Source organism: Homo sapiens, chromosome 7 (genome assembly GCF_000001405.40).
Source record: "Homo sapiens chromosome 7, GRCh38.p14 Primary Assembly".
Taxonomy (NCBI): domain Eukaryota; kingdom Metazoa; phylum Chordata; class Mammalia; order Primates; family Hominidae; genus Homo; species Homo sapiens.
In genome coordinates, this window is record NC_000007.14 from 111,259,821 (window position 1) to 111,275,895 (window position 16,075).

At 37.0% G+C, this 16,075-nt stretch overlaps 1 protein-coding gene across 26 annotated transcripts in view, besides 1 other annotated feature; it reads right to left on the reverse strand.

Annotated features, from left to right (window-relative positions):
• IMMP2L (inner mitochondrial membrane peptidase subunit 2) overlaps positions 1 to 16,075 on the reverse strand; it is an 899,849-nt gene that overhangs the window by 597,177 nt on the left and 286,597 nt on the right. Inside the window, exon 4 of one of the 26 annotated variants that reach the window (XM_047420931.1) lies at positions 978 to 15,333. The exons of the other annotated variants lie outside the window; for them this stretch is intronic. Within the exon in view, the coding sequence (XP_047276887.1) occupies positions 15,267 to 15,333 (67 nt within the window). The 3' untranslated portion in view covers positions 978 to 15,266. Of the gene's footprint in view, positions 1 to 977; positions 15,334 to 16,075 lie in introns of those variants that run through there. 26 annotated transcript variants of the gene reach the window in all.
• Positions 14,539 to 14,739: a silencer, noted in NCBI's record as "peak6688 fragment used in MPRA reporter construct". NCBI's record gives its function as "represses an SCP1 promoter by STARR-seq MPRAs in K562 erythroleukemia cells {active_cell/tissue: K562}" and the evidence as "EXISTENCE:reporter gene assay evidence [ECO:0000049][PMID:32103011]".

Consider the following 16,075-nt stretch of genomic DNA (forward strand, 5'->3'; position numbering starts at 1 on the left):
AAAAATATTTTCTTTTTTAAAAAATGTTTTAAATATTTTCCTTAAAAACTAAGACACAAACACACAAATTAGCCTAGGCCTGCACAGGGTCAGGATCATCAATATCACTGTCTTCTACCTCCACATCTTGTCCCACTGGAAGGTCTTCAGGGGCAAAAACATGCATGGAGCTGTCATCTCCTATCATAACAAAGCCTTCTTCTGGAATACCTACTGAAGGACCTGCCTAAGGCTGTTTTACTATTAACTTTTGTTGTTGTTTAAGTAGAAGAACTACACTCTAAAATGATTAAAAGTATAGCATAGTAAATACATAAGCCAGTAACAGTTATTTGTTATCATGATCAAGGATTACGTAATGTACAAAATTGTTTGGGCTAGACTTTTATACAACTGGCAGCACAGTAGGTTTGTTTACACCAGCATCGCCACAAACACACGAGTAGTGCATTGTGCTACAATGCTATGACAGCTATGACTTCACTAGGCAATAGGAATATTTCAGCTCCATTTTAATCTTACGGGACCACCATCATACATGCAGCTCATTGTTAACTGAAACATCATTATGTGGCTCATGACTGTATGTAAACTGTAATTTGAATTCTACAAAAGTGGGATTAAGGTACATTGTCCCCTTGGCCAGTTCACTACAGAGCAGAATATGGTACAAGGTAATTCATTTTTAGACCTAATCAAGAGAGATGATGTTAACTAAAACAACAAAGTAGATTCAAAATTTTGGGATGGCACCTATAAGGTAATGTGAAGGTCTCTACCTATATTTTCATGACAATATTCTTATACACTTCAGAATTCTATTTTGCAAAACAATTTAATCATACTGGGTTGTGGTACTTTAGAAAATATGTAAGAATAAGTCATTTTCATGTGAAATATGAGGAAGAAACTTTCTCTAAAGGAGTATACAATCGAAACAGGTATTAAAAATTACAGACATAAAATTATACTATAAATACGTGACAATAGAGAATTTTTTATTGTCTTATCAAGCTTCCCATTTGTGAATTTAATAAAAACAGACCAGCTTAAATTAAATCAGTAGATAAATGATAATTTTAAAATGGCAATTCTTACTATTCTTGATTACAGCGTAAATACATGAGGATAAAAAAACATGATGTTTGAAATGAGGGATATTTGGAATCAGGAATGAAAATTCCAGGAAGCCAAGCACTATGAATCTCAGTAAAAAAGATGCCCTTCTCTAGTTAACACGTAATTCTCAGTATAATGTAACAAGTTCATAGGTCAAGAAACTTCCATTAACTTCTTTAAATTCATCTATTTAATAACATGACAAGCATTTAATTATGGCTAATTTCTCCACCGCCTTTAAGTATAGGATAAAGATGAACAAGTCTCCTGAAAGTTCTCTCATCATAGTTTAGCTCTCTGAGGTAAATGAACCTCATAATATTCCCCGTATATTCACCAACACCTCCCCACAACATGATTTCCCTCCCTGACCAGAGCCCACTGAAATACTGACTTAGTTGTTGTTCTTTGTGTATAGTACAAATGAAATTGGTGAAAACTAATTAAGGAATTATTCTTCTTTGTCTTGTATGACCAAGTCAGAAATATTTTTTAAAAAGCTATTACCAGTCTAAATTCCCTTTACTCTCTGATTCAGGGCTTCATTCATTCAGCACATTGTGAAGATCTACTATGAACTAAATTACCAATGTCTTGAACAGAACTCAGGAAGGCTGGTGTCTAGTGAATAAGACATATACTTTCTAGAATAAGTATAACATAACATGTAAATGATATAGCAGACAGAGGTACTGGTTTCTACAGGAGAATTCTTAATCCAGACTAAAGAAAATAAAGTGAAACATCAGGAAATCGTTTTAGGCTAAATCATCAAGGAGCTAGTTATTCAGATGATTCAGATAGGCCATTTCAGGCATAAAAATTCAGAAACAAAATGCATTAAGACCTTCGGGGGAAAGACAAATATGTATAAGTGAGAAAGGGACTGCATTGAGGTCAGAAAGGTAAGCAACGACTTGGGTGTCATGCTAAGAAATATGATTTTACCCTGAAGGTTATGGGGATAGACTGAAGAATATAAAGCTGGAGAGAGAGATATGACCAGATTTGGCTTTTAAAAAGATCATGTTGGAAACAATATACCAGTAGTCTGTTAGGAGATGACAGTGGAAATTTAAGTGAGAAATGATGAGGTCCTCAGCCAAGGTAGTGGTAGTAGGGATGCAAAAACAAGAATTCAATCAATAAATACACAGTAGAACCTACTATGGCTGGGTATCATTCAAGGCACTAAGAATAAAACAGTAAACAAAAATCTCATCCCACAGGAACTTATATTCTAATGGCACAAACAATCTATAAACAAGATAAATAAATAATATAATAGTATTTCAGATAGGGATAAGTATAAAAGAGAAAAATGCTGGAAAGAGGAAGAGGATATATCAGGGAGTGGGATTGAAATCTTATACAGAGTAGCCAGGGAGGGTTAGTAAAGGCCTGAATGCTAGTAAAGGCCTGAATGAAGTGAATGAGCCGGCTATGAGAAGATCTAAGTCCAGAGCATTTCCATAATAGAGAAGAGCAAGTACAGAAGCCCTGCAGCAGTGCTGTGCTTGTATGAGTGGGAGAAAAGAAATGGGAGTGGGGGTTGAAGAGAAGGCAGTTGACTATGTCTACACCCCTTGTCCTCTGGACTTCTAAGTAAATACACTAACAGTATTTATCCAAGAGGCAGAAACAATCTCTGAAATACCCGTAGCAAGATGTCCCTAGCTAATGATTCCTATAGTAAACAGAACGCAAGATTTATGAGGTATATCTCCCTAGATAATATTTTCAACAGATAGAACTGTCTAGAGTATTAAATGGAGATGTTTCATAATTTAAATATTCCTGCTATGTGAAGTAATCCCATGAACATCATATGGAGACTTCATCTGCTCTGAGCCAGAGAATCCTGTCCAATGTGGAAAGGACCTTGGAAGCTGCCCTGGATATCCTGGACCTCTCTCTCATTTGTCTAAGCTGTTAGAATGCCTGTATCTTTGACATTAATTAATAGAGTTTGATACTGGGCAAGATCTCTAATGCATGTTTATCAGATTTGACAGTCTGATCCTGTATGTTTGCTCAGAGAGGAAGAGCCCAGTGTGGCTGCTATATTGTGAATGGGAGGAGAATCATAAAAAAAATGATTTCAGAGGCTTAACGAGTAGTCAGATAATATAGTCCCCTGTAAGACACTGTAAGGCCTTTGACTTCTGCTCTGAGAGAGGCGGGAAAATATTGAAGGGTTTGGAGTAGATAAGTGACATGGTAATTGTTACTGGTATCTTCAACAAATACTATAAGGTGCCAAGGACAGAAATAAGGAGACTAGTTAGGAAGCTGTAATAAGTAGGTTAAAGATGTTGGTGGCTGGGAGAGGTAAAGTTAGTGAGAAGTACCTGTATTCTGCATATATTCTGAAGAAAGAACCAAAAGGATTTCCCAACAGATTGGATATAAAATATGAAAACAACAAAAGAAAGAGGACTCAAGGATAACCTCAAGTTTTATGCCCTGAGCATGTGCAAGGATAAAACAGCTATTTGTTGAAATGAGGAGAACCATGGGAAACAGCTTAAATAGGAATGAGGAGGAGTTCTTCTTTGGATATACTGGGTTTCAAATCTAAGTAAATATCGAAATGCTGATGAGAAGGGGACCATTGGATATATGAGTCTGGATATATAGGAAAGAAGTCTGGGATAGACAGATAAATTTGGGAGTCATCAGCATATCAATGGTATTTTTAAACCACAAGCCTGGATGAAATCACTAGAGAGTCACTGTTACTAGGGAAGAGGTCCATGAACTGATACCTAGGGTGCTCTAATTATTAGAGATCAGTAAAAGGAAGAGGAGTAAGCAAAGATGACTGAGTAGCGACTAGGGAAATTAGTGAAACACTAGGAGCACATGGCTTTACTGGAAGCCAGGGGAAGAAAGCATTTCAAGGAAGAAAGAATGATCATCTGTGCCTTTTTAACAGTAAAGAAAAACGAGGATTAAAATTTGTCCATTGGATTTTGCAACATGCAGGTTGCTGGTGACCTTAATAAGAGATATTTAAAAGGCAAAACACATCCCCATTTTAGATATCTAAAAATAATTCCTAAGGTTCTGGCTAGGATAAATGGGTAGGTGATAGGCTGCAGATGGACTTAGTGAGTACAGTTATAATACTCCATACTCAGCTTCAAAGTATGAGGAAAAACACCCAATTACATTTCTAACTAATGAAGTGTTAACACTTAAAATGAAATTTAAACACATTAACACAGAAAATCAGGGGGAAAAGTCTCACATCATACAGTTTACTATTTTTAACCTGTCTCTTCTTAAAATGAGATCATGAACATCACCTGACAAGGGCACGGGCCCATTTACAAACAAAATTTTCTTGGATTAAAGGGCCTCCTCTGTTTAAGAGGAGAGATCCAGATTTAGGTCTATAAGCTTGCCCAACAGTGTCAAATCCTCTGGGTACAGAAGATATTTCCAAATCAGACATTTCTGCTGGAAACAGCAGATGGGAATTTTGTTTTATTTTATACATACCCTTTTGGCAAATATATCTCTGAAAAACTTGCCCTGCAGAAACTAATTGTCTAAGCAAGATTTTCTTTTTTTTTAGGTTTTCGCCCAACAGGAATCAAATCTGTGAATAGAGAATTTAAGGCTGGATAGCAGCACTATTTTTGACTTGATTACAAAGCAGAAACAGAGAAGACCAGGCACTGACTGGCTAGTTGCAGGGAAGATTAGACGGTGAGATTGGCATCCAGGGAAAATGCACGGCCAACTGGGAGGCTGCCCCACTACCTTAATGCCAGGGATACTAGATATGGAAACAGCCAACCATTTCCAGACTCTGTTGAAGAAGCAGTTTTCTCATATTGGTAAATGTGGCTCAGGGTGGATAAAGGGCTAAATCTCCCAGAAGTGAAGTTTTGGTACCCACAGTTGTACAGCATGATATGCTGTAGGGCAGGAACCAATGGGAAAGGACGCTGATATACTGAATTCCCCCTATTAAATTCCAATCCTTTGTTACCTTCATCTTTACCTGCATCTTTGTTACCTGCATCTTGCAAATAAGCAAGAGTTAACTGTTTAAAGCAAGCAAGCAAGCTTGTTTACAGATCATTGAAAACAATTATCAACTTGATGAGCTTCAAAGAGCTGTGGGATAATTTAGTACTAATCTAAAGAGATAGACAACATTTCTAAAATGTTGCTTATTTTAGCAGAAAACAGTTTAAGGCAGATTCCTTCCCACATGGTTCAGCTGACAGCCAGCTGCCCACATAAATTCACGTGAGTACATTCTCTCCAACTGTCTCTGAACATAGAATAGGCTATATTACTAAAAGCCTTTTTCTGTTGGAAATGTATTCTATTAAACACTTTTTCTCCTAAGCCTCAGCTGCACTTTCATGAGCAGTATATTGAACCCAAATCAAAATCTCTACTTTGTGTTGAGATCTCTGATTCTCAATGGAATCTGATAAATATCAATTTGATTTAACAAACCATTTTGGAGCAGTGATAATTTGTCAGGAGCTGTACTAATGAAAATATGCTTTAGAGACCAATTCTTATCATCAAGGATTGAAGGATGGGGTGAGCAAGGACAAAGGAATCAGAAAAAAATTTCATGGAAGGGACATTATTTGAGATGGACTGTGAAACATGGCTAGGGTTTCAAAGGGTAGAAGAACATTCCTAAAAGAAAACACAATGTGCAAAGACCCAGAAGGGCAGAAGCACTGAGTCTGCACAGGCCCAAGAAAGGTCTGCTTAGAAATTGCTCAAGATTTCAGAGTAGCAGAGTGAGATGATCCAGGTTTGATTTTTTGAAAATTAGACTAGGGGCAGGATAATGAAAGCTCTAAAAATATGAGAAAGAAAGAGAAAGAAAACAAGCATTTGTGGTCAAGAAAAGAAGGGGTTTCTGTTTTTATTCAGGGAAATTTAAAGGAAAATAGATTTTTGTAGGCATTACAGGATTAAAGTCTACATGACTGGGTTAATGACTGATTACCCAAGTCAGTGAGGCCTTCCCTAACCAATCTATCCTAAAATCACAGCAGCCTGCTCTCACACATGGGGGCATGCCTCTTTTAGAGTTGATTTTTGAAATAGCACTTACCACAACCTAACATACTTTAAACATGTTTAAACATATATTAAAGCATATTTTACTTACTTAGTTTATTGTCTGTCTTCCTTGAATATAATGTAATATTTATGAGAACAGTGACTGCTGTATCTCTACAAACATAAGTAATAACTAATTCACTAAATGCATAAACACATGAATGAATATAAAAATGACTGAAATCTAACACTGTCATTAAAAGAAACCAGGGAGCCAGGCACGGTGGCTCACACCTGTAATCCCAGCACTTTGAGAGGCTGAGGTGGGTGGATCACTTGAGGTCAGGAGTTGAAGACCAGCCTGGCCAACATGGTGAAACCCTGTCCCTATTAAAAATACAGTAATTAGCCAGGCATGGTGGCATATGCCTGTAATCCCAGCTACTGGGGTGGCTGAGACAGGAGAATCGCTTGAACCCAGGAGACAGAGGTTGCAGCGAGCCAAGATCGCACTATTGCACTCCAGCCTTGGCAACAGAGCAAGACTATGTCTCCCAAAAAAAAAAAAAAAAAAGGGATCTAGGTTCTATCTCCAGCTCTGGCACTAAGAACATCAGTTTAGGCAAGTTACTTTTCTTCCATAAAGTGCATTTCCCTCATCTATAAAATTGAGGCCTAACTGAACTTACATACACCCACTGTAAAATTAGACTAAGTCCCCAGTTAAATAGCTAAGACTACGGCATTTTCCTGCCAGACATGTGAAATTGCCACATTTTTGTCATGCCACTGCCCTCTTATACACATAGTTAAAATCACTTAGCCAGAAAGAACTTATGATGCAATAGACATGCTTCCATTTAAAGGAATGTTTACAAACAGCAGCTCTCCTATTTCTTGAATCAAGCTCAGCATGAGCAAGGTCACAGCCTCATTCAGATGAAGAAAGCAAAGTCAAGGCCCGGGTGTCTTTGATCAATTTCTCTACCCTAGCTTTCCCATGATCCAGAAAGTTTGTTTCCCCAAAGGCCGCCCTTAACTGATTCAATACCATGTTTTCTGGATGATTTTGATCATAAGTTTGGTCTGAGGATCACAACTACAAATTCAATTCTTCCATATGTCCAAAATTCCCTTTAGTGCTAACGTGCTATATTTCCATAAATTTTTATAGAAACTTACCAAGCTGTGGGGTTGATAATCTTTCTTTCTTCTTAATACAAATGCATCATCAGAATACGCATGGTCTCAAACATACCTTTTCTGAGGCATTAAAAAAACATAGTGATTTAGGGGAATTTTAGGTAATTTGAATGGGTAATAAAAAACAATTGTAAAGTCCTTTGAAAATGTAAAATTACTAAGATTTATTCAATGTCATTATTTAAACATACCCTAATTTGTTATTATTTAACATTTGTTTCCCAGTTGGTCAGTTATGGCTGATGAGCTGCAGGGTGATGGGAACTTCATGCCATCTGTTTCATTGCTAGGAGCGCTAGTCTCCCCAGGTCACTTACTGTGATTATAAACATGGCCTCAAAGGAAACAGTGACTCCATGCCCTAAGAGGCCAGAAGCTCAGATTTTCTTCTCCCAATTCTCTCACCGATTTACTGGGCAACTTCTAAGGAGGACATTCTTAACCTTGAATTATCTTTTGACCCAATCTTTAATAGACTTAATAGGGGTAATATTTTTTTTCTTTTTTGAGCTTTCAGATTATATTAACTTTTTTTCTATATACTATTCTCCAGGGGTAATATTACTTCTCATCCATAAAGGTGTTTGCTGGATTAATTAAAATATTATTCCAGGATAGACCACAAATTGAAATGTGGAACAATGATCATTCCTTCATGTCTATGAGTTCATGAGTCATTGTATAAAAATAGTGTCGGTTCATTCTCTGTATCATTACAGAGTATCTTTTTCAAAGAAGAAGTAGTAAATTCTGGCCCATTCATGCCTGTATGCTATCTATTTAAGTATGGTAATTCAAGACATTTTTTAATTGGCACTAATTATAAATAATAACCCCAGCTTCACAAAACAAACAGAGGAAGCAGTCACTGATACATTTACTTTAGAATTAGACAAAAGTCTCTGTCCCCAATTTTCTCACTCATCAACACAGCACCACCATGATGTTTTAAATTCTACCATTAGAGATTTATCTCTCTATGTGTTATATATTATTCCCCCCAAGACATTCTCTTTTAAAAAGCTGATATCCCTAAAAGGAGTAGGATATTAGGATGCAACCAATCAATAACATTGTGTGAAGTCTCACAGGGTGGAAGGAACTCAAGAGTATTAGATGTTTTGTGGATAGCAGAGATAGAAAAGGGAGGCAGGAGTTGTCTTAAGACAAACTTCACCTAGCTCATGGTTTTGCCCAGGAACAGGCTTCAGCTATGTGGTGGCAGCAATAGGAAAACAATGCCAAAGAGGTAAACTTGCTGGGTTTCAAAAATTTTGTTTTTGTCGTTTATCTAATAAAAAAAAAAAAAAAAAAAAAGGAGCCAGAAGCGAAAACTACATTCCCAGGGTAGAGATATGAGTTAAACTTCACATTTCTCTTTTTTTTTTTTTTTTTTTTTTTTTTTTTTTTTTTTTTTTTGAGACCAAGTCTTGCTCTGTTGCCCAGACTGGAATGCAGTGGCATGAACGGGGCTCACTAAAGCCTCAACCTCCTGTGCTCAAACAATCCTCCTCCCACCAGCCTTTCCAATAGCTGGGACCACAGGCGAGCACCACCATGCCTGGCTAATTTTAATTTTTCTATTTTATGTAGAAATGCAACCTCACCCTGTTGCCCTAGCTGGTCTAAAACCCCTGGGCTCAAGCAATCCTCCTATCTCAGCCTTCCAATACCTGGGATTACAGGTATGAGCCACTGCACCTGGCCAAACTTCAGATTTCTATACAAACTATTATCTTTTCTGGTCCTTGGTAAATTGGAGGCATCTGCAAATATTGTCCATTTTTTATTACTTCTAAAGTAGGTGGAGCAAGGTCCAGTTACTGCATAGGGCACAAAAGTAAGGACAATACAGGGAGAGAGGGCTCAGGCTCTGCCTATGCTACTTCTGCCTACAACTGCCAGTGTCTGAGATCCATACCTAGTCATGAGTTGACAGGGCACTGGCAGGGCAGAGTTTGTGGCGATAAGAGGCTTCACTGTAAAATTTTTTATCAAAAGCAGCATCTGCTCATTTAAGAAACACTTTTATCTGATTCATTTCCTTGTCCCAACAAATACCAGTCTTTTTCATATTATTATATTGTCTCATCATGCTAAGACACTATATAAATAAGCATTAATAAATGCAATCCATATAGAAAGACATTATTCATATGGAAAGACTGAACAAATGATAGAATTTTTAAGCCAAATCAAGTATATATCATCTTGAAAGACATGCAAGTATGCAAATAAATGTAAAATAAAGTGGCAAGTACAAAAATTATATGTGTTTGCTATATACTATGGACTCTCCAGAAACAGTGCCACTTTTTTCATCTTATAATTAAAAAATAAAAAGACATATTCACTGACAAGTATTATTAAACACACTATGAATACAGTATTTTCTTCTGTATGTATATGATGTTAAATGCAAGTTTTAATTAATGGTAGTATGTATTACAGTTTTTTTTAAAAAAAAACAATGTTCACATCATGAAAGAAGATGTAACAAATTATGAAATTATGTTATCAAAATATGGAATTATGTGTTTAAATCCAGTTAAGCCCCAGTATCCTATCTAAAAGAAGACCTATCAAATGCAAACTCACCACACAGAAATGCTATCCTAAAGTATATCATCAAAATCCACTCAGAAATTTTCCTGGAGTTGCACCATTTTTGGCTACCTATACCTGCTCTAAGGAGAAGCTCTTATCATGTTCTGATTTGAGAATACCTCTTTCAATATTGGCTAACTCTTCTTGTCTTTCAAGATTCAGGGCAGGCATCACTCTTTGGTACTGCATGTTATTATATTAACCTATACAAACCCTATTCCTATTGTACCATCTTTGTGTGTGTGCATGCATGTGTGTCTGTGTGTGTGTGTGTGTGTGTGTGTGTGTGTGTGTGTGTATCCTCCCCACTGATTTGAAAATCACCGATTTTCTTTTCCTAGTGCCTACAATGTAGCTGCCCTAATTAAATGGGGGAAGAGAAAGCTGGCTTGCCTTTTATTTAAAAAAATAAAAAACTATTTCATTCAAAGAAAATGTGTCAAGTGAATGTACTGTAGCACAGATTCCATTACTTGAAAGTTATCATTACCTGTCTCCCATTATGATAAACTTCAGTAGTGCCTTAAAGAAACCTTTTCAACTGATCTGCTTTTCATTTTTTAATAATGTTCAGTATTATTCTTGAACATAGTGACAGAATGCAATCCTAGGACTGAAGAGTCTAAATGTATTCTATTTGTCATGAGTATTGTATTTAGTGACTTGAATTCTTTTTTATGTAGATGTAGTCCATCAGTTATCTTATATATTTATCAGAGTTCACTATAAAGAAAAAAATTTCTTTAAAAATATGATGCAGAAGAGAAGAAACTTTATGCTATTATGTGAGCAAATTAGCTGTCAAAACCAACTTTAAAAGGCTTACCAAATAGCATCCTACCCTTTGGAAAGTAGTTGCCAAGGTAAAGAGTTTAATCAAAGTAATTTCTACATGATGCCTATATTTCAATAATTTATGAACGGTACGTTTGAACTGAAAAGACCTCCATCTAATAAAAACACAAGTATTTATTTGTTTTTATTTTCTTACTCATAGAATTTTTTCTTTATTCCTCTAGGAATATATAACAATTGGATTTTGTTTATGCCAACTAACATGGCATCTCTAAAATGAGCACTTATCTTACATGAACAATTTTTCAAAATCTTAGTGTAAAGTACAGTCTCAGGACCACATAACTCCCGCTAAGACTATTATATACTCCATTAACATACTGATATGGTTTGGCTGTGTCCCCACCCAAATCTCATCTTGAACTGTAGTTCCCATAATCACCACATGCCATGGGAGGGACCCAATGGGAGGTAATTTAATCACGGGGACAGTTACCCTCATGCTGTTCTTATGATAGTGAGTGAGTTCTCATGAGATCTAATGGTTTTATAAGGGGTTTTTCCCCCTTTTGCTTGGCACTTCTCCTTCCTGTTGCCATATGAGGAAGGACGTGTTTGCTTCCCTTTCCATCATGATTGTAAGTTTCCTGAGGCCTCCCCAGCCATGCTGAACGGTGAATCAATTAAACCTCTTCCTTTATAATTTACCCAGTCTTGGGCAGTCCTTTATAGTACTGTGAGAATGGATTAATATACACACCCAATGGAAGAATGGACAAAAGCTGAATAACATAAAATTCATCACAAATTAAGACTGCTTTTGGAGTAAAATAATGTAAATTACACTTATGCCCTCATGCTGTATTTCACTGCTTTGGCCAGTGGTTCTCAAGCTTCAGTGTACATCAGAACCACAGGGAAGGCTTATTAACACAGATTGTTGGGCCTCACATTCAGAGTTTCTGATATAGAGTAGGTCAAGGTTGGGGCCTAAGTAAGTCCATGTCTAAATTCCAAACATCCAAGTGATGCTGATGTTGCTGGTCACGGGACCACATTTTGACAATCAGTGGCCCAGGTAACTACATCCACACAGATGCCTGCCATGACTCCAAATCCACCTCTCAGGATCAGGCTTATCTATCCAATTGACCATCTGGATATCTTGGAGAGTCCCTAAGTACAAATGCCCTACATTACCTAAAACCTATCTCAGAAAAAAATGACACCACCATGAAGCAAGTTGCTCAAGTTGTTCAAGCTTAGAAGTCATTCTTAACTACTTTCTCTCTCTGGTCACATTCTATTCCTACACATGTTTCCAACCTGTCTACTTCATCTCTATTACCACACTAATCTAAACCAGAGTCATCTCATGCTTGGACCACAGCAACAGCCTCCTAATCAGATAAATACAAACACTCCATTTCTACTTTTTCCCCACCCGATCTGTTTTCTGTAATGCAGACAGAATAACTGTTATAAAACATAAACATGATGACATTAAAATTCTCCAATGACTTCTTATATCTTTTAGACAAAGTCTAAAATCCTTAATGTGGCTTCCCATAACCTCCAAGATAAAGCCCTTACTATATCTCTTCAGGATTATCTTGTGTAAACTCTCCCACCTAACTATGCTGGCCTTCAACCACTTCTCATTTTATCCTCCCTCAGGGCTTTTGCTCATGCTAATGTCTATAAACAGTCTCCACCTTGCTTTTTTAGCAAACTCCTCATTTCTTGGATCTCAGCTTAAATGGCATGTCTAATACAAACCTTTCCTGATTCCCCAAAATAAATAAATCACTACTATATTCTCAAAAGGCACTGTACACTGCTACTTTAGTATGATTAAACACACTGAAAATTACTTGGTCATACTACAACTATTTACCTCACTAGCTAAGCTCCACAAGGAACCATTCTGTCTTGTTCAACATTTTAATCTCAAGGCCTGTACAGTGCTTCACACATAGTAAGTGTCCCAAACTAGGCACTGATTGGCTGATACATAGACTATTATAAAAATTTTTATGTGTTAATAGAGAAGAGGAGCAAACAAAAGTAGAAAAGAGCTGACCAAGTTCACAGAAATGTCCAGCCATGGGCTTATTCCCACAGGACATCCCCAACCTTTTCAATTGGGCTCACCTAGCCCTTTTCTTTGGGCCCACACACCTCAGACTCTAGGACCAAAATTGGCAATTGGCAGAAAGATAGAGATTTCAAAGTCAGCTTTTCATTTACCCAGTAAGATCACCTCAGATTATAATACAGAAGTACATAGCAAGAGTACAGAAATTAGCTAACTGATCTAGATGTTGGAGGAGGTGACAATGGAGTCTTGATAGAGTATAAAGAACATTACAAATGGAAGAAACACCTAGATCAAAGTCCAGAAATTAAAAATAGCTCAGCATCCTGTAATCTCAGCACTTTGGAAGGTGGAGGCGGGCAAACCACTTGAGGTCAGGAGTTCAAGACCAGCCTGGCCAACATGGTGAAACCCCATCTCTACTAAAATACAAAAATTCACTGGGCATGGTGGCGGGCATCTGTAATCCCAGCTACTTGGGAGGCTGAGGCAGGGGAATCGCTTGTACCCAGGAGGCGGAGGTTGCAGTGAGCCGAGATCATGCCAATGCATTCCAGCCTGGGCATCAGAATAAGACTCCATCTCAAAAAAAAAATATATACATACCTCAGCAATGCCGAAACATTACTGGAACACTGAGGTATAAAGCCCAAAGCAGTGGAAATTTTGGGCTGCACGAGAAAGACAGGGATCAGATCATGGGTAGCCTTATTTGACATAATAAGGAGGTTACCATGAGCTCATAGCCTAACAGGAAAAATATGGAAAACTAGACATCATACATAATAATAAACTCTAAAATAAAGGAAGTGGCCGGATATAGAACAACAGTTATCCTGCCATGGGTATGGGGTCATCATGAACAAAGCATACAAACTTCTACCTTGAGGATGCAGGGAGGTGCACGTGCAATATTGTGAGATTCAGAGATAGGGGACATTCATTCCACCTGATGAAGGAACACTTCCCGAGGGAGCAAGGTCTGAAGGGGTCTTAAGTTCTGGATATACAGAGGTTACGGTTAGGAACATTCAAGGCTCAAGCAAAATCATAGCCAAAACCACAAATATTACATGGAATATTTCTGGAATTAATAATTATGTTTGGCTGGAGCATAGTGGCATAAAGGGAAGGAATGAAAAGGATATAAATAAAAGTAGGTTTGATCTTAATACTGAGAGGATGCAAATACCAAAGTCATCAGTTTGATTTATAACAAACTCCATTTTTTATTAAGAACTATATATACTTCTTAAATTTTATGGAAACTAATAACTTGCCTACAGTTTCTTCAGTCAACATATAATTTTCAAAGTCTTTCATGGGAAGAAAATGTGCTTCCCTAACCTATTCTTTATTTACTCTGCCAATGACACCCAAAATTATTACTTCCATCTGGGTTTTAATTACACCTGTTTTTCCCAGGGGGAAAAAATCAATGTAAATCCAAATAAAATATAGTAGATAGTTCTAAAATGTAATTAGTGATAATAATCAAGCAATTCCTACAGGAAAAATTTACAAGTCTCTGATCTGGTAGGATCACCTTTTCAAAATGGGAAGTCATCATTACATAATATGAAACATTAAAACTTCCATTAAAAGGAAGGCTAAAATGAGTCTTAAATAAGATGCACTCATATTAAGAATCTTTTTACAGTAACTGAAGAGAATCTTAATTATTTTACTTTACTTGAGCCTCTCTAAAAACCTTATTGCCAGTAATTTGGGCTGACGAATGTAGTCAATACAGAAGAGCCTCAATTTTAACACTTCTCCCTCAAAGCCTGTCCCTCTTGTGGTTTTCTGATAGGCTATTGTTAGATTCATTTACAGTAAAATAATTACCAGCTCCCTAAGCAAGACACATAGCAGGTTATCTATTGTCCCTTAGAGGACTGTTGGACTGTTCTTAACAAGCATACTAAATTACAATAGCAGCTTTATTGCAATTAACAAACAGACATGAATCACCAATCCAGTTATATCTCAAAAGAGAGAAGGGTTTTCTGAAGTATACTGCTGTGGTTGTTTTCTGAACAACTGTTTTGTAATCCTAAATTCAAAGACCCGTATTTAAGCAAACAGGCACATGTCCCAGGAGCAGGCAACACAGATAGAATAGTTTTTCTTGTTATTCCCAACAGAAAGAGTAATAGTATAATGATTTAGAGAATTAACAGAGTGCAGACATGAAAAGATACCAGCATTCCCCATCAGTACGTAAAGCACTCACGCTTGATCATTTACAGCTCTGTCTGCTTGACATCTTCCAGTCTCTGATCCCAAAGCAGTAGCACCAAGGCGCAACTCTGCTTCTTCATTTACATTGACATTCTAATCTCGAGATGTGTCAGAATTAAAGTTGGCAAGTTTCCAGACTATTTGAATTCTTTCATGTTGAGAAAAATGCAATTGCACTGTGCATATTCATAGGAATCCCATGGAGGCTCCCAGAGGATCTGCTCACAGAGACAAGGAATACAGGTCAGTGCCTGTAAGTCAATGAGACCACATTGCCCACTCATAAGAGGTGGAGGGACGCTAATGAGATAAGAGACTTGGCCCAAATGCTTCTCTACAAATAACAGCAAAGCACTCTCACACAAACATTTCTACCAACAAACTCAAATATTTCCGAGGAGAATTAGCTTGTTAAAAAGAAAGTTTATGTTCTGAATTGAATTCCTAATGGTTTTGAACCAGAATTACTGTTCCCCCAACTAGCATTTCTATACTTGGGCTACTTCCTACAAGTAATTCACACTCCAAAAACAGTTGTGGGGGACTGGTGAAGGAAAGACAGTAATTATACTGAAAATGTAATAATACAAAATTCACTTCTAACAAATCAGATACAACTTATTCAGTGTGGGAGGTGTGCATGAGTTATTCACAAGGTAACACAATTAAGTTTTAACATACAATTTTATAGGGATTGCACTGAATCGGTAGATTTAATGATAATGATTCTTCCAATCTGTGAGAATGGAATGTTTTTCCGTTTGTTTGTGTTATCTATGATTTCTTTCATCAGTGTTTTGTAGTTCTACATATAGAGATCTTTCACTTCCTTGATTAAATATATTCCTAGGCATTTTTTAATAGCTATTGTAAATGGGATTGTCTTCTTGACTTGGTCCTCAGCTAGATTGTTATTGGTATAAAGAAATGCTGCTGATTCCTGTATATTAATTTTGTATC